Genomic DNA, 20567 nt, shown 5'->3' on the forward strand with positions numbered 1-20567 from the left:
GCCTGGGTGACAGAGCGAGAGTCTGTCTCAAAAAAAAAAAAAAAAAAAAAAAAAAATAAGGGCTTCCTGTAGGAAGCTTAGTCAGTGGAAAGGATTTAGAGAGGAAGGGACAGGAAATAGAGAACAGCAGGCCGGGCGTGGTGGCTCACGCCTGTCATCCCAGCATTTTGGGAGGCTGAGGTGGGCGGATCATGAGGTCAGGATATCGAGACCATCCTGGCTAACATGGTGAAACCCCGTCTCTACTAAAAATACAAAAAATAAAAAATTAGCCGGGCGTGTTGGCAGGTGCCTGTAGTCCCAGCTACTCGGGAGGCTGAGCCAGGAGAATGGTGTGAACCCGGGAGGCGGAGCTTGCAGTGAGCCCAGATCGCGCCACTGCACTCCAGCCTGGGCGACAGAGTGAGACTGTGTCTCAAAAACAAAACAAAACAAAGAGAACATTCTAGCAGGAGAAAGGGCGTTGAGTGCTTGGGTTGGGTCAAGGCACAAGTCTGGCTGAAATTTAGAATCTTTGAAGGAAAGCGATGGTGAGATTATTTAGACTGGGAAGATGAACCTGCCAATCTTATTTCTTATTCTGCGTGTGTCACTTGATGAGAAGGCCATGTCTCCACCCTTTAGTAAAGGCCAAGGTCATTTAAAAGGTTACCTGGCCTTTTTAAGTGACTTGAAATGTTTAGCACAGTTTTAGAAGGTCAGTGTCTCACCACCTGACCCTTATTTCCTTGGTTTATGATGGCCAATTTATTGCGTCTGTTTTATTCAAAAGAAAACTGAGGGTGCTTCTGAAGTAGTTTCTTATTTCAATGTGTACACACCTCCACTCTGAAACATGGCTCCCTTAACTGCACAGGCAAATTTATCACATGTAGTTGTGAACATATATTTGTGTGTGTATTGCAGTGGAAAATCCCCTTGAAAAATCAGCAAATTGGACTTCAGCTTGAAAAGTATAGACAGAGAACAAAACTGTCTGTGTGCAAATATATGTATATGTGTGTATCTAAAAACATATATAAACACATGTATACGTATGTATATATAAATAAAATTGGATTGAGTCATAAAAGTATAAATATGTCCAATGTAAAATCTACTAGAGAAGGAGTTTGTTTTTATGACTCAGAGGGAATGTGTAATAAAGAGGTATTTTTAAGACCGAGAGCCAGTGTGTGTCAGCTTCTTTTTGCCCATTGTTTGTGTCCTGGGCAGGAAGATGACTCACTAGATCTGAATCACAAGGCAATTAAGAGCCCCAGGAAAGGCTGATTTCAGGATGGATATTTAGAAGCTTCAGCTAAATCAGGTCTTGGGTATCTAGGTGGATTGGGGAATCAGTGAAACAAATATTTCTCTTCATTGTTTTAGATTCTGTGGATCTCTTGCTCAGTACAGAAGTACTTTTTTTCCCCCAAAAAATCATATGAAGAAAGAGGAAGCGCTGCCCATTCTGAAGGAGGTTGTTAAAAATGAGTAACGCACACTTCATGTTCACAGCAGCAGTATTCACAATAGCTCCACGTGCCCGTTGACAGGTGAACAGGTAGACAGAATGTGGTCTATCTGTGCAATGGAATAGTATTCAGCCTTAAAAAGGAAGGAAATTCTGTCACTTGCTACAACAGGGATGAACCTTGAGGACATGATGCTATGAGAAATCAGCCAGCCACAAACAGACACATACTATGTAATTCCACTGAGTCGAGGTTCCTAGAGTAGTGAAATTCATAGAGACAGAAGGTAGAACGGTGATTTCCAGGGGCTGAGGAGAAGAGGGGATGAAGAGCTGCTGTTTAAAGGATGCAGAGTTTCAGTTTTGCAAGGTGAAAAATTGCTGGAGATTGATCGTACATCAGTGTGAATGTACTTACCACTACTGAGCGGTACACTTAGAAATGGTTACGATGGTAAATTTAATATGAGGTGTCTTTCACCACAATTACAAAAGTGGAATGAGTGAAGCTTATTAAGGATAGACAGCAGATGGCTGAGAAGTTGGCCTGGCTGGACCGTTGTCTGGGGGGAGCATGTGGATGAGGCATGAGGTGGGGAAATAAGGAACCTGTCTTTCTTCCAGTTAATTGTTCTTTCCCCCTTGCCTTCCACCTTCCTTTCCCTCCTGATGGCTCATCCTGTCTCCCTCTCACGTGCCTGCTGTATACTTTCTTCCTTTTCCCTGCTGGTCCACCCGACCTATTTTTACTCCCTCACATTTGGTTGTCTTTATCCTCGGAGGAGAATGCTCACACCAGCGTCTTTCTTCAGGACAGCTTTCTACCTTCCTTTTTTTTTGCCATTTTAAGACCGACAGTGGCATAAGGTCACTGGGTGAGGTAGAGATACACTGATCTTTTTTTGGTGGCAGTTAGGGATATTGACATTGGTCATTTCCCAAAGCGACAGCAGTGGTAGCACAGGTGAGGGTGTCGCCCACCGTCTGAGAAACCCATGAAGTACGCTGGCTGCTCTTCCATGTTGCCCCCTTCATAACAAAGTGTTCGCTATCACGTTAAGAAATATGTTCGAGGAGGAAGCCGTGCAACAGCTTCAGAAAAAAATTCTAGAGCTAGAACATGCAGTTGGTTTTCAAATCTCATATTCTTAATTTCAATCCTTTTATTTCGGATCCAGGCTTTAGGATGCCTCTCTCTCTGATATCACTAAATAAAAATTATCCAAATGTTTAACATTATATAGAAATAAACATAATGGTGTATTTGACAAAATTTGACAATTTTCATGTGGATATTCAATGCCTTGTGGTCAAAGTTTAAATCAAAACCAATGTGGTCTTGGCTTCAGGAATCTGTACCATCATAGATAGCAGTGGAGAAGAGGAAATAATAGTCTGGTATCCTTAACCCATAATATAGATTGTATATTTGTTGAAAGTAGAATGCAAGGGTGGCAAAGGCCTGATCTTGTTGAGGGATGGGAATTTGTCAAACGCAGTCACTGAATCTGTGTGGTGGACACGCGTGCTTGAAAACCTTGCGGAAGAGTAGCCATCAAAAATACTTACAGTTCTTACCAAGGTTACGGCAGGGCAGGGGTGCTACCCAATAAGGTAGCACCCAAATCGGCTTCACTGCTTCAATACGATGGAAGGCTGAAGGACACATTTGTGGTTTTTTTTTTCTTTTCTTTCTTTCTTTTTTTTGAGACTGAGTCTTGCTCTGTCGCCCAGGCTGGAGTGCAGTGGCACAATCTCGGCTCACTGCAAGCTCTGCCTTCCAGGTTCATGCCATTCTCCTGCCTCAGCCTCCTGAGTAGCTGGTACTACAGGCACCCGCCACCACGCCCAACTAATTTTTTGTATTTTTAGTAGAGACAGGATTTCACCGTGTTAGTCAGGATGGTCTTGATCACCTGACCTCGTGATCCACCCACCTCGGCCTCCCAAAGTGCTGGGATTACAGGCATGAGCCACCGCGTCCAGCCAGGTTTGTGTTTTATAGGAAGAATAAATTTCCATTTTAAATGAAACAATTCTACTTTTTTCTTGTGAAATAATGTTGAAGTATAGATAAAATATATCAATTGTATGAAGATCATTTAAAGAAAATCACATGTATATTGAAAAAGATTTTAATTTTTTTTTCTTGGAAATAGTGATCTATTGTTTTAATGGAAAAAGGAAGTGTAGTTTTTAAATGTTCTTTAATATTGATTTACAGAAGCTTAACATTACCTTTTTAAATACCACAGGTACAGTAAAATTTAATGGGAAAGCTAATTTTTAATAGTTTGATAATGTGTATATATTTTATATATATATAGGTTTTACCTTGCATTCGCATTTTAAGAGAACAAGCTTATTTTATGATTAACAGAATCATTAAAAATTTTTTATTGTAAGCTTGCCAGAGTCCTAGATTTAAAAAGTTATACTCACACCACATATAGTCTAATGACGACAATAAGGATAAAGAAATACTGAACTTTTTTAAGTAGGCTTATGTCGGTAGGGATATTGATGACATTCTGAAACTATTTTGTGTTTATTTAGGAGAGAGTAAATGAGCAACTAAGTGAATTGATGTGTTGGACACCAACATTTTCACTGTGGAAGGAGACATAAATATGAGGAATGTGAGGTACTGGATTTGAGTTGAAAGTATCAGTATGAAGTCATGTTAAAATACACCCACGCTCTCTCTCTCACTGTTGTGGTTGTATCAACTGAAGAGCCTAGAAGCTGTGCCATCCCAATACGCACACATTCTCTCTCTCTCACTTTTCTAGTTGTATCAGCTGAAGAGCGTAGAAGCTGTGCCATCCCAGCCATTATGAGCATCTCTCATGCCCAGATCTTCGTTTCTGAATTTCTCTTTCCACTAGAAGAAACCATGAGAGAAATGGCGAGCCTGAGATCCTTTATTGCACCAAAAGCAAGGAAGTATGGAAGGAGAGCTGAGGGCTTGCCAGGACATTGGCTGACATGGTCTCTCACTGGTCAAACTTGGGATGGTTGGAACATCAATAAAGAATATTAATGATCATGGATTATAAGTACATTAAAAAAACCCATATGAGTCCACAGTGATGAGAGTTGGGCTGGAGCAGGGAGGGGAAAGCTCTGCTTTATAGGAACATGCCAGATAACAAATATAGAAGGAGTTAGAGAATTAGAAACTCCTCATGTTATAACCTTAATGTAATCAACTGATTCAGGATGGATGTGAAAACTATTGGATGAGAGGCTGTTGATGTTAGCACAGTATTCTCTGTGCTTTTGCAATGTAGAGATTGGCCGTGACCTTAATGAAGTGGTCAGGTTTGGCGTCACTAATGGTGGGAGTCCTGATGTGATGCGGTAGGAGGATACCTGAAGCCCCTGGGAAGAGTGGCTTCGATGCTGCCAAGGAGAATGTCATGAAGTACAGAGCTAAGTGCAGGAACTGTTTCAGATTAGGGAGACCAAGCAGAAATAACAGCCAATTGCAGTGAATGAAACTTGGTCGGATTCCATATCGAAACAAACAAAATGGCTATAAAGGACATTTTTGAGACAATCGGGGAAATGTGAGTGTGGACTGTATGTTGGATGATGGTATTGAATCACCCTTTCCTTTTTTAAAGGTGTGACTGGATAGGAGAAGGTGTTTATTCTTGAGAGATGCCTTTTGGATTACTTAGGGTGAAATTTCACAAGGTCTTAAGTCCAGTTTTGGATAGTTTGGTAAAAGGAAAGCATGTGTGTGTACGTGTGTGTATGAGAGAGAGGGGATTTGAGAAGATATTAATTCTTGGTGAATGTAGGTGGAGAGTTATCAGTATTCAATGCTATATCGTTTGTTTCTGTAGGTTTGATATTTTTGAAAATAAACAATAAGTAAAACTAAGTGGCATAGAAATTAATCTCTTCTTTTCATATGGACACATAGAGACATGGTGCTAGGATGGCATGTGGGAAATAGTTTCTGCAAGATGAGCATATTCTTCCTCCACTGCCCCTACCAGAGAAATGTGAATGCTGATTCACTTCTTTTGACCAGTGGTGATGGAATAGAATTTTCCAGTCATGCAGTTGTACTTATTGCCTTCTGGTTCTGTATCGATAAGCTTCATTCCTTTTTTTTTTTTTTTTTAGCTTCATTCTTTAGAAATTGGATTCTTTACTTAGTCAAGTCTATAATCAAAATAGACTTTCCATGGTAAGTAAAGTAACATGGGAGCGCATAACAATACCTGTCATTTATGAAGACCTACTGTGTGCTTGGCACTGTGCTGTGCTTTTATTTAAGTCTTCTCCATTCTTCATCATCCCCACATTACCAGGAGGAGACAGGCTCAGGATGACAAGTGGCTTTTGCAAGGCCGCGTGGTGAATACATCGTAGATTTGAAATTTAAACCCAGTTCTTTCTGACTCTAATTTACCTATATGTTCATCCTCCAGTATCATGCTACCTGTATGCCTGGAAATAAACCATTTTACATAGTTTCTAATGGGATTACATTTTTAAAGGAAATTCATGGTAGTAAAGATCTCGTTAACACTCCCTTGATGTATGGTATTTGAGTTTAAGTGTGAAAAGAAGACACTAGCAATGGACTTGTACTGAGATTCAGGAACCCTGGCTTCTGCTTCCAGTTCTCTCACTGTCTGATGGTGTGATTTGAGGGCCTTAGTCTTATCAAATATAATCATTGGTTGGTCTGGTTGATATCTCAGTTAATTTGGGAAACTAAAATAGCATGACATTTTCAAAGAATTTTTAAAAAGATTACTGTGGCAGAAGCAAGTTCTGGGGGTGGAGGTGCATGAGGAGGGCTTGGGATAGTGGGAGGTGGCTGGAGTAGGGGCTGGGTTATTAGGGGTCTGTAGGCAATGTTAGGGCTTCCAACTTTGTAAGGGGCAATGAAAGTTCTCATAGGTTTTTTACACTCTAAAATAATAATAATAATAGTTCTTTAATATCAAATATGAGAGTCAGAGTCAAATTTCCCTCATTTATACTTTGTTCAAATCAGGACCTAAAGAAGGTTCACACATTGCAATTGCTGATAGGCCTCTCTCCCCCTCTCTCTGCCCGCCCTCTTCTTCTTTCTCTCTCTCCCCATCTCCCTGTCTCTCTCTTCCCTTCCCTCTCTCCATCCCTCTATCTTTTAATAACAGCTGTATTGACATATAACTCACATACCGTACAATTCATCTATTTAATGTGTACAGTTCAATGGTGTCTTATTCCATTGGGCTACTATAACAGAATACCATATACTGGGTGGCTTATATGCAACAGAGATAAATTTCTCACAGTTCTGGAGGTGGAAAGTCCAAGATCAAGGAGCCAGCAGATTTGGTGTCTGATGAGGGCACACTTCCTGCTTCATAGATGGCACCTTCTTACGGTGTCCTCACATGCTGGAAGGGCCTCTTTTATAAGGGCACTAATCCCATCCATTAGGGCCCCATCCTCATGACTGACTAATAACCCCCAAGGCTCCACCTCCTAATACTGTCACATTGTGAGGAAAGATGTCAACATCTGGACTTCAAGAGGACGTAAACATTCAGACCGTAGCAAATGGGTATGAACTGCAGTCAGACAGTTGTGCAACCATCACCACAGTCAATTTTAAAACGTTTGCATTACCTCAAAAAGAGGCCCCATAGCTGTCAGCAGACATTCCTCACTTCTTCCCAACACTCCCCCAGCTATCGGCACAATAATCTACTTTCTGTGTCTATAGATTTGTCAATTTTGGATACTTTACATAGGTGGAATCAGATAATATGTGGCCTATTGGCTTCTTTCACTAGCATAAGTTTTCAGGATTCATCTGTGTTGTAGCATGCATCAGTGCTTCAGTCCCTTTGATTGCTGGTCATCTTCCATTGCATGGATGTATCCATAATTGTATGGAGACACCACATTTTATGTATTCATCAGTTGACAGACATTTGGGTTGTTTCTACTTTTTGTCTATTGTGAATAATGATGCTGTGAATATTTGTGTACAGTTTTTTTTGTGTAGACACGTTTTCCTTTGTCTTAGATATGTATCTAGGAATGGAATTGCTGGGTCATATGGTGACTCTGCATTTAACATTTTGAGGAACTTCCACACTGTTTTCTAAAGTAGGTGTGCTATTTTTCAGTCCCACCTGCAGAGGATTCCAGTTTATCCACATCCTCTCCAACGCTTGCTGTTGTCTGTGTTTTTGATTATAGCCACTCTACTGCGTGTGAAATGTTATCTCATTGTAATTTTGATTTGTATTTCACCAATAGCCATTGGAGGGTTTTAGGGATGAAATGGCATGATCTCATTTAGATTTTAGGAAGATCACTGTCACCGTATCAAAGAGGATGGATGAGAGAGGTGCAGGCAGATTACCAGATACCAGATGATGGATGGCAGCAGACAGGCCAAGGTAGTGGCAGTAAGAATGGTGAGAAGTGAGTGGATTACAGGGGAATCTAGAAATACTGTCCGTAAGAATTTGTGATTGGTCAGATGTGAGGATTGGGGAGCGCTGAAACTGCATTTCCTGCCTGGGCACCTGCGTGAGGCCATCCATTGACAGAGGGGACAGAGCAGGGTGGGTAGTGGAGAGTGGTGTGTGCAGATCTGGAGGGGTTGAGTTTGCATTTACTATCAAGAGAGGAGATCAGGAGTGGTCTCTGGGCTGGAGGCAGACATTTGGGAATTGTTAATATATATCAGCAGTATCTCCAGAACTGGGAATGGCTGAGGTTGGAGAGTGAGAGGAAACTAGGATATTTGAGCTTACCTCTTACTTCTGGAGCTTTGTGATGCTTTTGCCCTTTTAGAAAAATGCATGGAAGTACAGTTTTTTACTCAATATGGAATACAGTTAAAGAACAACATTTCCTTCACTTTATTGAAATTTGTTGCAGGATAACATCTCTGTCAAAGCACTTTACAAGGCTTTCTAGTAAAGTAAATTTTGTGTATTGCAGTGGGGAGAGGGGAGGGGGTTGCCTCTTGTAAGGCAGAATTTGATTGGCATTATCTCTTAAGTCTTCATTTCCAGCAACAATCTTAACATGCTGTTTAGATTTAAATGGTGGGTGGACCATATGTCATGAAGAGGTACAGTGATAGAAAACAATCTCTAAATATCTAACCCATTTAAGTGGTTCCTACAGGTTTTTATGTTTTTGAGATACATGCCTAATTTTGGATTATTAATTCTTACTGGAATTTTGTCTGTTAAGTTAGGAAGAAACGACTTATAAAGTTTCCTTTGGTTTTCCCCAGGAAGATACTTTTATAACATGAAATCTTTAAAAAACCCTTTAGAAAAGTGGTCTATATAATTCTTAGCAGGGTGTTGAGATCAAGTGCTTTTCTTCTTTTCATTTTTTACACTTTGTCAGTTGAAGATGTGCAAAGAAGTCCATTTGAAATTTCCCTCGGGCCACTTAATTCAGCTTCATTACAGTGGAAGTGGGTTAAAAATGATAATCATACAGCCCCAACAGGTGATTAGAAATATAGATAGGATGGGGCCAGGCACAGTGGCTCACACCTGCTCAGCACTTTGGGAGGCTGAGGTGGGCAGATCACGAGGTCAGGAGATCAAAGACCATCCTGGCTAACACAGTTAAACTCCGTCTCTACTAAAAACACAAAAAATTAGCCAGGCGTGGTGGTGGGCCCCTGTAGTCCCAGCTACTTGGGAGGCTAAGGCCGGAGAATCGTTTGAACCCAGGAGGCAGAGGTTGCAGTGAGCCAAGATGGTGCCACCGCACTCTAGCCTGGGCAACAGAGCGAGACTCCATCTAAAAAAAAAAAAAAATCTATATAGATCTCTATAGATAGGATGAATCCATGACACGTCCTTAAAACAGTTTTATTTTTTCCGTTTCATGAATTTAGCAGGAGGATCCTATTCTCACTGCAACCTCTGCCACCCAGGTTCAAGCAATTCTGCCTCAGCCTCCCGAGTAGCTGGGATTACAGGTGACTGCTACCACACCTGGCTAATTTTTGTATTTTTAGTAGAGACAGGATTTCACCATCTTGGCCAGGCAGATCTTGAACTCCTGACCTCGTGATCCACACCCCTTGGCCTCCCAAAGTGCTGGGATTACAGGCATGAGCCATCGTACCCGGCCGAGATTTCATTTTTAAAAAACATGAATCCAAGAAGTGACTTGAGTTCCAAATAAATAAATTTATAAATTTACTTATGTTCTAGAATAAATGCAAGTAATTATGACTGCATTAGTGCAGCATTAATTAACATTGCTAATTCTTTGTAATTATGCCAAATAATAACACTAATAAAATGTAAATATCAAATGAATAAGGCGAGAGCCTCCCCTCCTCTTTTTAAAGCCACTATATTACAGTGTCAGATTATGAACACACAATATTATCAAGCTTCCAGATATCCACTTTCTAAATACGGTCTGTGTGAATTCTAATGAAAACATCAGCTCTGTGGTATAAATCTCCTTTGCCGCCTGGTTCAATGAGGGGCTGCCCAGCAAGCCAATAATTCCATTCCTCAGAGCATTGCTGAGAATATTTATATAATTAAATATCATCTGTTTCCCCATTTAATTCCTGGTGGCTATCCCCCAACCCCCTGGCTGTTTTTGCTGTTTCCTTGGGCAGGAATGGCACAATAAAGTTGCTGCAGTGCTGATGGATTATCTTCATTAGGTACTTGGGTGATGAGTCCCCAAGCACTGCTGAATTTGATTTACCCTGTGCAAAGGCCCAACCTTCCATAGAAGCGCTAAGTAGGGCAGGTTTTATGCAGCTTGAACTGGTTGGTGTGAAGAAGAAGGAAAAAATTAAGTTGTTCTTCTAGAAAACAATTTTGGGAAATGCTTTGGTCTCTTAGGAGAGCCTCCTTTGCCTCCTTTTATACAATCTCAACAAATGGTGATACTGAAAGTCCTTTTTGGTAAGAAGAGGCGGATGAAGTGAGAACGTGGTGAGCTGGAGAGAATGCAGGAGACCCGGGTTCTGCATCTGGGGTCAGAGCTGAAGCCAGGCTGACCTTCCTTGGGTCTCGGGGTGTCTGCATCTGGGCAGCGATGGAACAGGACTGTGGCTCTCCAAGGCCACTTCAGCTTTGGAGTGGGACCTTCGTGAATCCCGCCCCGCCCCTGATAACCATGGGCCCTGGGCAAGTCACCCCATCTCTCCCCGCCTCTGACACTTTGTCTTTAAAATGGGAATACACCACTTGTTTTGCCCACTTGTTACAGGGTGGTCCGGAGGTCTGAATACAAGAGCGCACTGCATGGTCCTGTGCGGATCCCAGCTCGCAGCAGGTGCCCACAGGACGCCGCCCCTCGCTTCCCTCATGTCCTAGATTCTGTGAGACACAGCCCGTGACACTTTGAAGCAGGGCCGTAGGAATTCCGATGGGAGGTGATTAGAGAGAATAAACAAAGTGACGGAGTTGGGCCTGAGACAGGGGAGTGGTCTGCGGTGGAACAGTGCTGGAGTAACTCCTGCCACTCTGAGCCAAGGCTCTTATTTATTTTTATTTTGGACAGGGTACTTGCAGAATCAAGGCTTTGGGAGTCTGGTGAGTGGTCAGACCCTTCATGAATGGGATTGGTGGCCTTATAAAAGGGACTCCAGAGATGTCTCTTTCTCTCCTTGCACCATGGGAGGACGAAATGGGAGTCTGGCCATCTGTAGCCCAGAAAAATGTTCTCACCAGAACCTGACTGCTACCACGAAGGGTGTTTAACCTACATTGAGTGCCAACTGTGCTTCTCCTTTAATTCAAAGCCTTTGATTTCTGGGGGTGCCTGTTCTGATGGCACTGATGGGCACCCCCTGTTGAGTGGGGCAGGTGACGGGAGGAGGACTGGCGGCCGTCAGTGGGGGCTACCATGGGGGTCCAGGGGGCCTGTCAAACTGTGGCACAGGGGAAACCCGTAGCTCTGTGCCTTACTATTTTACTATACCATCTCATTTAGTGCCCACGATTTCTTAAGAGGTAGGCACTGAAGGGGAAACCTGTAGCTCTGTGCCTTACTATACCATCTCATTTAGTGCTTATGATTCCCTAAGAGGTAGGCACTGAAACCATTACCATTTGTAGATGGGGAAACCAAGGGTCACAGTGGCTTGCCCAAGGCCACACAGGTCATAGGTGGGAGAACTCATTGGAGCCCTCCCCGCCTCAGCCACGACAGTCGTGTGTAAAGGTGGGTTCACGGAATATCATGGGGCCTCCTGTGGTCTTAAAGTTTGCACCTCTCCAAATTCCTAGGTTGAAATCCTAGCCCACAAATTCGTAAGTTAGTATTTGGGGAGGGGGCTCTGGGAGGTGATTTGTTACGAGAGTGCGACCCTCATGAATGGGACCAAGAGCCTTAGTGCCTGCCTGAAAGGGACCTCTTTGCACCATGGGAGGACACAATGGGAGGTTGACCAACTGTAGTCCAGAAGCGGGCTTGTACCAGAGCCTGACCATGCTGGCACCTTGATCTTGGACTTCCAGCCTCAGAACCATGAGAAATACACTTGTGGTGTTCATAAGCCACCCAGTCTGTGGCAGTTCGTTATAGCAGCCCCCGCCGACTCAGACCACGCTGTAGGATTTGAAGCAGGTGTGCTGAGAATGTAGGGTAGACATGTCATGGTGGCCGGTCACCTTCCATTGTCTTCTCTTTCTAAACGGCACCCACCTTATGGGCTGCTATGAGAAGGAAATGAGGCCAGTGTGTGGACTGGCGCACCCACTGTTAATCAGCTGCCGCTGCTTGGCCCGTTTCATCTGCCCGGAGGCCGTTCCTCACTGACATCAGCTAGTCATTCTGCCCTTCACCTTGGGAGGGCATCACACCTTGTGCCTTCGTAGAGAAAAATTCCTGTTTCTGCCCCACGCTGGAAAGTCAGATAAAGCCAGCACATGTCTGGAAGATGCAAGATGAAATGTGAAATCAGTATGGCATTGGGTGGAAACAGAATTCTACTGCACGATAATGACAGCCGAGATCAAAGGACCGTCTATTTATCGATAAGAGTGAAGGAAGGATAACATGGCAGCCAGAGGCGTCATCAAAGGGGAGGATGGCTGGGGTAAGACCCTCCAAGGGGGCCACAGGCCCTACCCAGATGGACACCGCATGCTGGTGTGGCAGACGAGGGCACAGACCAGTGTGGCCCCTCCGCCCTTTGCCCCAGTCGGCATTGTCGGCTGTTGCTGGCCCACAGCTGAACATGCTACGTGTCATCTAGAACCAGCCTTTCTGTCTCCATATTCTGAGTCCACAAGGGACAGTAATAATGTTGGGCCCACCCCTGGAAATGTAAGAAGAAATTCTCTTAGCCTGTCTTATCTTGTACTTGATTCTTTAGGTCCTTCTCTTAAGTTTTTCTTTTCTGTTCTCCTGTTAATCTGTCTTTCTTTTTAAAACCGCATACTTACACAGCTAGCGTTTTATTGCAGAATACTACTTTTAACTGGACCTAAAGAGAAAAGTCTAAGGTGTTAGCAGGTATCATTCTCACCAGTCATGAACGATTGCCATTCACAGTTTAATGTTATCCTAGTCTTATCTGTCCTGACCTCATTTCTTGATTAAAATGTTCCTGTTAAATTTCCTGTAAATCCTTCCTAGGTGAAAAATCCCTCCGAGGGCTGCGTATCGCCTGGGGCTGTCGTGTATTTTGGCAGCAGATCCCTTCCCTTGGCTGCTGGCTGGGTTTCTCCAAGCTAATGCTGTTCGGTGCAAAGGAATGGCCCTCGTTAGCTTCCTGAGCTTTTTAGAAGTTTTAGGCTGTGCTGGTTTTGACCCCTTCCTTCCTCTCTAGGACTCCTGAATAGGCCGAAGAAAAAATTAAATATTTAATAAACAACCCAATGTCACAGAGAATGGGAAAACTCTTGGGATTACATACTTGTACCCAAATCCTAATAGACTTTTTATGCTTATTGTTAATAATATACTATATTTGAAAGCAGAGTATAATGCCTAGGACGTAGAAGGACTTTAAAAAATGTTAGTTTCCTTTCCCTGTAGAATAGTCACCCTCAACCCTGGGCTGCACTTAAAAATCACCTGAGCCAGTGGCTCAAGCCTGTAATCCCAGCACTTTGGGAGACCTAGGCGGTGGATCACAAGGTCAGGAGTTCGAGACCAGCCTGACCAACATAGTGAAACCCTGTCTCTACTAAAAATATAAAAATTAGCCTGGTGTTGTCGCAGACGCCTGTATTCCCAGCTACTCAGGAGGCTGAGGCAGGAGAATCACTTGAACCTGGGAGGTGGAGGTTGCAGTGAGCCACGATCATGCCACTGCACTCCACCCTGGGCGACAGAGTGAAAAAACAACACAAAAAACTGTATTGATGTCTGGGCTGCATCCTAGACCAATTAAATCAGACTCTTGGAGAGTGAAGTCCGGGTGTTAATATTTTAAAAAGGCTCCCCAGGTAATTCTAATGTGCGGCCTAGGTTGAGAAGATCAGCTCTTAGAAGAATACAGCTGGCCGCCTTTTTGCTTTATACGTTTTGAGCTGCTGGCTTCTAATTAGAGTTAATATCATTACAATATAATGCCTTTGTTTTACATTAAATTTAATAAGAACAACCACTCTGCTCTCCAACAATATAGCTACTTTCTCTGGCTTAAGTGCTTCTATTCTTTTTTTAAAAAACAAACAAACAAACAAACAAACAAACAAAAAACTGAGTTTCCGATTAAAAACCCAAGCTTAGGCCAGAACAGAACTTTGGAACTGCAGTCAAACAAAATTTTAGATAATTGTTTTCTAATGGCTTCCTGACAAATGGAGACTAAAGACAGGCAAGGGGGCTAAGACCAGGCTGGGTGGGGAGAGGGGACAGCAGCACGTTGGTACCTGGGTCACCTGCCAGAAAATGAGTGGCAGTCTGTGCCCAGGTGGCTTCAATTTCCTGATAAAATGAAAAAGCCATGATATCTCTGTAGACCGAGTCTACGTCCTAACCCCCAAATCAGGACACATAGTCTTGTAAGTGGGAGAGTATACACGTGGACATTGTAGCTGGAATCTGAGCCTCAGTTTCCCCATCTGCCAATTGGAGGCATTGCAGAGTCCTCCTCAGGATTGCAGCACGGGTGAAAAGCTTGCTGACAAATAAATGCTTCCTATGTGTCAAACACCATTCTCAGTTTTAAAACGTGTTAAATAACTCTGTGAGCAGTTACCTTATCACCTGTCTTATACTGAGGAGGAAATCGAGGCACAGAGAAGCCAAGCAGACTGGCCTGGTCCCTGGAATAGCTGGGATTTGAACTTGGCAGTGATTCCAGAGTCTGGGCGTAAAACATCTGTGTCCAGTGCACAAGGTACCCAAGACCGTGTGGGCACAGGATGGACCCTCAAGGCAGCGAATGAAACCCGGGGCTGGTAAGGTCAAAGGTGTGTGAGCAGCAGTGATCCCAGCTTCACTCTGGAGAGCCAGGGCAGTCTCACACTGGGTATGAGGTGGGTGGGTATGGTAGTGGTGATGGTGTTGGTGACAGGCTTCTTTAGAAGTTTTGGAGCTTTTGGTTTCTCAGGTAGCAGGGGAGAATGAACTCAGAATATTATTAATGAAATTATCTGTAAGGTTGAAATGTACAGGAGTGCATTTTGGCATAATGGTGTGTATGTGCATGTGTGTTTTTGTGTTTGCATAACTGCATGCACGTGTATGCATTTGTATGATAGTGTGTGCTCATATGTGTGTATGTGTTTGCATATGTCTGTGCGTGTGTATGCATTTGTGTGACTACATATGTTATATTTACATGACTACATATGTGTGTGCATGCATATGTGTGTATGTGCATTTGTGTGTGTGTGCATATGTGTGTGTGCATGTGCATTTGTATGGGGTTGTTTGTGTATGCATGTGTGTTTGTGTGTTGGAGAATTATATAACAAGCGACTTTGTCTCATTCTTCAGCTTTGCATTCTGTGGGCTGGGGATCTGCATTTTTCCCTCCAGCCTCTTGTATTACCCAAGCTCACTCATTCACTTGATCATACTTTTACAACTCTGTGACATTTTTACCATCTTAGCTGGGCCCTTGCTTGTTGGTGGTTTTGCCCATTTCTAGGTGTGTGGCCTCCCTGGCCCTCATCTGTCAGCAGAGCCCATGGACTTACCCCAGAATTGCAACCCTGGAAGCATCTTAGCATCATCTGGGACTGATGCCCCCATACCCCTAATTAAATCAGGCCCTCTGCTCGGGAGCCATGATGGGTCTAGTGTATTCCTAGGGTTGAGAAACAACTGGCTGTATTCACCCAACCTATGAGAAGAGGATGAGGTGACATGGAGAAGTCAGTTTACAAGAGCTGGAGCAAAGTGCAGAGCCAAATATCTTGGCGCTGGGCTAATGATGCCCTTTTCATTCTCCCCTCTTCTTCTTCCCTCCTCTCCATTCTCTTCCAACACTGCTTCCCCAGGTCCCCTCTCCCATGCCAGGAATTAAAATGTTTTGTCTGGAAACAAGTGAGCTTGACTAACGTGGCCGGGCTCCCACTGCAGCTGAGTTCTGCATGTTCTGATGTCAGTGTTGTGAGCTTTAACTGGAGATTGGTGTCCAAAGGCAGCCGATACTGCTCTGTCCATTTCTGTTGTGCTGAAAATCACATGGAAACCAATCACATAATGATCTTGGGAATGAAGTATTCAATGCACAGTGTTATTAACATGTAAAAGACTTAGGGCAAATCACTTTTAAGTATGACAAGGCTTCAGATGTGTTTGGTTTGAGTATAGGGAAAAGAGTTTGGGGGGTTGTTTATCAGCAGTGCCATGAGGGAGGCTTATTTCTTCCCTTTAAATCTGGATGAATATGCCTGTGTGCGCCGCATGATAATAACAATCACGCCAGCCAGGAGATTAGCTGAGCTTTTGCTCTAGTAATTCTAGCATGCAAATTCAAAGGACTGCAGAGGAGGCAGGGGAGGAGCGTACTTAGCATCTTTTGCTCCCCTACATCCTAACCTTTGTGCTGTGTCTTAGGTTCATCTTAGGGACGGCTGAACGTGAAACCTCCATGATGTCAAAAGCCTGGAGAGTTGGGTCCATGCATGAATGCTGATCCACTTTCTCTCATAGTGAGATGTACAAACAGAAGGGTACATAAAACTTAATAATTATAGAAACCCATGTAACTACCCCCACCCCTAAGGAAAAAAACATTGCCACTGCCCTAGAAGGCCCTATACCCTGATGTTATTTAAGAAAATGGACCGCGGAAGAGAGGCACATGGGTGGCCAGGAATGGAGAAGCTCTGTTAGGACTTGGGCATGGCACTTCTTGACTGTTTCTGATCTTTATGAGGCAGTAGGGATTCTGGAACCCAACAGTTTGGGTTGCAATCTCATCTATGTTACTTACTAGCTTTGTGTCCTTGGGCAAGTCCCTATGCTCCTTGTGCCTTAGTTTTCCTATCTGTAAAATGGAGATAATAAAAGTGTCTACCTTGTAGGATAATTGTGAGCATATCAAGTGTGTTAATACATGTAAAATCATTAATACAGCATCAGGCACATACATGTTAACTACTATTACTTTATTAATAATCTTGGTTCTAAAACCTTGTGTTGTTTTATATGTGGAATTCCCAGTCTTCTAAACAGTATCTCTCTCTATAGATGACTGTATTATCCTGGTCTTCCACGTCGCTGGTGTGCTATCATCCCTGGCCAACTCAGATGTCACTGGGCATCTCCAGCACAGCCACTGTTCTTCCTTCCACTCCATGCAGAATGTGGCAGCCTGGCACACAAATAATTTTTAATAAAATTTTAGTGTATAAATGTGGTTTTTGGAAAGTAGGGAGGAGGGAAGTAGCATTGATTTAATATTTAAACAGTACCATTTAAACCTAGTAGCAAAACCCCTATACGATAATGAGTTGTAGTCTATTTTACAGATCAAGAAAGTGAAGCTCAGAGAAGGGAAGCAACTGGCCCAATGTCACATAGCTAGTAAGTGACTCAGCTGGGATTCGACCACACTTCTGTTTTCAGAAGTGCCCATCCCTTGCGGGGATTTGAGCTCTCACAGCCCAGCCTCCCATCCTTGCAGGAATCCTTCCTTCCACACTCCCAAAAACTGACCATGTAGGCTTCACTAAAGTAAATCATAAATTTGGAAGTCTAGGACATCTTGAACATGCTAAATATGTATCAATACACCTGATATATTGTTTCCAGTCACAGATAATTCCAGTTGATTTTCAGGCATGTGTAGATACTCATGATATAAAGATTGAGTTGTTACTAATCACTATGAGGCACGGGCAGGTCTTGAGGTAGAACCTCATGAGGGGAATGTTATAAGTACTTTTGCATTCGTATGATTTTCCCCATAACCTTCTCTCATGCTGGCAGGAGATAGCTCTCTTTTCCAAATTCTCAAGTTGGCACAGTTATGAAAACCTTCTAGGACATCAGTGTGATGATGTCCAGAGACAGGGGCAGACTCCTGATCTGTGGCTGTGCTTGGTACTCCCTCACCCCTTCATTGGTCTAATGGGCCAGCTGAAGAATTTACACAATAGGAAAATTGGCCAAAGCCTTAACATTGTTACCAACCTGCATTTCTTCATGAAGAAAGCACAATACTTGCCTTAACTGAGGGAAGTTTCGCAGGAAGGGGTATTCAGCTGTGTGAGTATGTGCTCTGATTCTTGCCTGTTTCTCAGTTCCCTGTGTGTTACTGCCACTTTCATTTATTACTGTTTGCTTATTTTAGAGCTATGTACCTTGCACCCTGTATGAAATTAACTCAAAGTGGATCATAAACCTAGGTGTAAAACATAAAACCATCAAACTTCGTGAAGAAAACATTGGCAAAAATCTCTGTGACTTTGTGTTAGGCAAGTGATTCTTAGATAAGACACAAAAACCAGAAGCCATAAAAGAAAATGATAGATTGGACTTCATAAAATGAAAATGTTATTCAAAAACATTGTTCAGAAAAATGAAAAGACAAATCTTGCCCATGTTCATTCCCAAGCATTTCATTTTGTCTGATGCTATTGTAAATGATACCTTAAAAACTGAAAAATTCCTAACCATTCATCATTAGTACATAACATTTGTTTTTAATAATTTTATTTTTTAATAATTTGTTTTAATAAGTTTTGTATGTTGACCTTGTCTTCTGAGACCCATTAAGCTCACTTATTTGTTCTTGTAACTTTTTTGCCCATTCCTTGGTATTTTCTTTCTTTCTTTTTTTTTTTTTTTGAGACGGAGTTTCACTCTTGTCACCCAGGCTAGAGTACAGTGACGCAATCTTGGCTCACTGCAACTTCTACCTCCTGGGCTCAAGTGTCTACCACTACGCCTGGCTAATATTTTTTTTTTTTTTTTTTTTTTTAAGTAGAGACAGGGTTTCACCATGTTAGTCAGGTAGTCTTGAACTCCTGACCTCAGGTGATCTGCCCACTTTGGCCTCCCAAAGTGCTGGGATTACAGACGTGAGCCACTGTGCCGGGCCTTCCTTGGTATTTTCTATATGGACAATGCTTGTCTCCCTCCAAATTCATATGTAGAAACCTAATCTCCAATGTGATGATATCAGGAAGTGGGGCCTCGGGAGATGATTAAGTCATAAGGGTGGAGCCCTTAGGCATGGAGTTAGTGCTCTTATAAGAAAGGCCCCAGAGAGCTGCCTTGCGCCTTCTGTGATGTGAGAACACAGTGAGAAGATAGCCATCTATGAATTAGGAAGCAGGTCCTCAGCAGACACTGAATCTGCTGGTGCCTTGGTTTTGGACTTCCCAGCCTCCAGAATTGTGAGGAATAAATGACTCTTGGCCCTCCATGTCTGTCAGTTCTGCATCAGTGGATTCAACGAAACTTGGATCAAAAATGTTTTTAAAAAAAACACAAAAATACAGTGTATCAACCATTTGCAAAGCATTTACATTGTATTAGGTATTGTAAGTCATCTAGAGATGATTTAAAGTATATGGGAGGATGTGCATAGGTTACATGCTTATACTGTGCCATTTTATGTCAGGGACTTGGGCATCCTCAGATTTTGCTACCTATGGGGTTTTGGAACCAACCCCTTGCAGGAACTGAGGGACAACTATACTGTTGTTTATGAGCCATCCATTTTTATGGTACTCTGTCCAATCAGCCCAAGTTGGCTAAGACATAGATGATCATGTCTTCTGCGAATAATGATAGCTGATTTCTTCCTTTGCTATCTCAATGAATTTTACTTCCTTTTCTTATTGTGCTAGCTAGGCTCTCCAGCATGATGTTGCATAGGCGTGGTGAGAGTGGATATCTTCCCCTAGCTCTTGATCCGAGGGGAAAGCAGTCAGTTTTTCACCATGAAGAATGATGCCAGCTGTAGGTCTTTTGAGAGCACTGTCATTTTTACTTTTATTTTTGGCACATGGATGGGAAGGCTAAAGACTTGCAACTGACTTTCCTCCTATACCTTTAACATTTTGCTGAATGGTAGAGAAAGAGAAGCTGGGCCAGATGTAGTCTGGTTAGAATGCTGCTGGTTGGGAGTGAGTTTGAATATGTTTTAGAAATACTTTGTCTTTCTCTTCTATGTGCCATTCCTCTTAGTCTGTTCTTATTCCTGTACACTCCCTAGTCCTGAAAAAAGTAGTGACAGACCTGACATTTTAAGAGCACTATCCCAATTTAAACTGTACTTTTTTTTTTTTTTTTAACAGAGCTTTAAGGAAATGAACAGCTCTCTACATTTTCTTGTATTTGTAGCAGGAATTCTGATCAAATTTTCACCTTTTAGTTTCCGTGAGAGAAAACAAGGGCCTTACACCTTTGATGATAAGACATCAAGTAACTGTTACTACTGAGTAAAATGTAAGAAGAAATATACTTTTTAATTTGTCAGCATTGCCCTTCCCTCAGTGACCAAGTTGCTGCACATTTGATAGCACAGGCAACCACAGCAAACGACTGATACGGACTTACCCAGTTAATTACCTAAAGATTATATTACTGGAAAAAGCTAAATCATCAACTCAACCATGTGTAAACACTTTGAACATCATCTTTAAAATGTCTTTGCAGTTTGTTTAGGTGGTAGTGGAATTTGTACAAAGTATCAGTCATTGTAATA

General features: G+C 42.6%; 1 protein-coding gene and 1 long non-coding RNA gene across 10 annotated transcripts in view; both read left to right on the forward strand.

The window, feature by feature from the left end:
• MSRA (methionine sulfoxide reductase A) overlaps positions 1 to 20567 on the forward strand; it is a 374600-nt gene that overhangs the window by 96941 nt on the left and 257092 nt on the right. The window lies entirely within an intron of this gene.
• Positions 3402 to 4505, forward strand: LOC124901886 (uncharacterized). Its single transcript, XR_007060816.1, has 2 exons — positions 3402 to 4100; positions 4249 to 4505. It is a non-coding gene; the product is annotated as an uncharacterized LOC124901886 (long non-coding RNA).

The sequence above is a fragment of the Homo sapiens genome, chromosome 8, assembly GCF_000001405.40.
Source record: "Homo sapiens chromosome 8, GRCh38.p14 Primary Assembly".
NCBI lineage: Eukaryota > Metazoa > Chordata > Mammalia > Primates > Hominidae > Homo > Homo sapiens.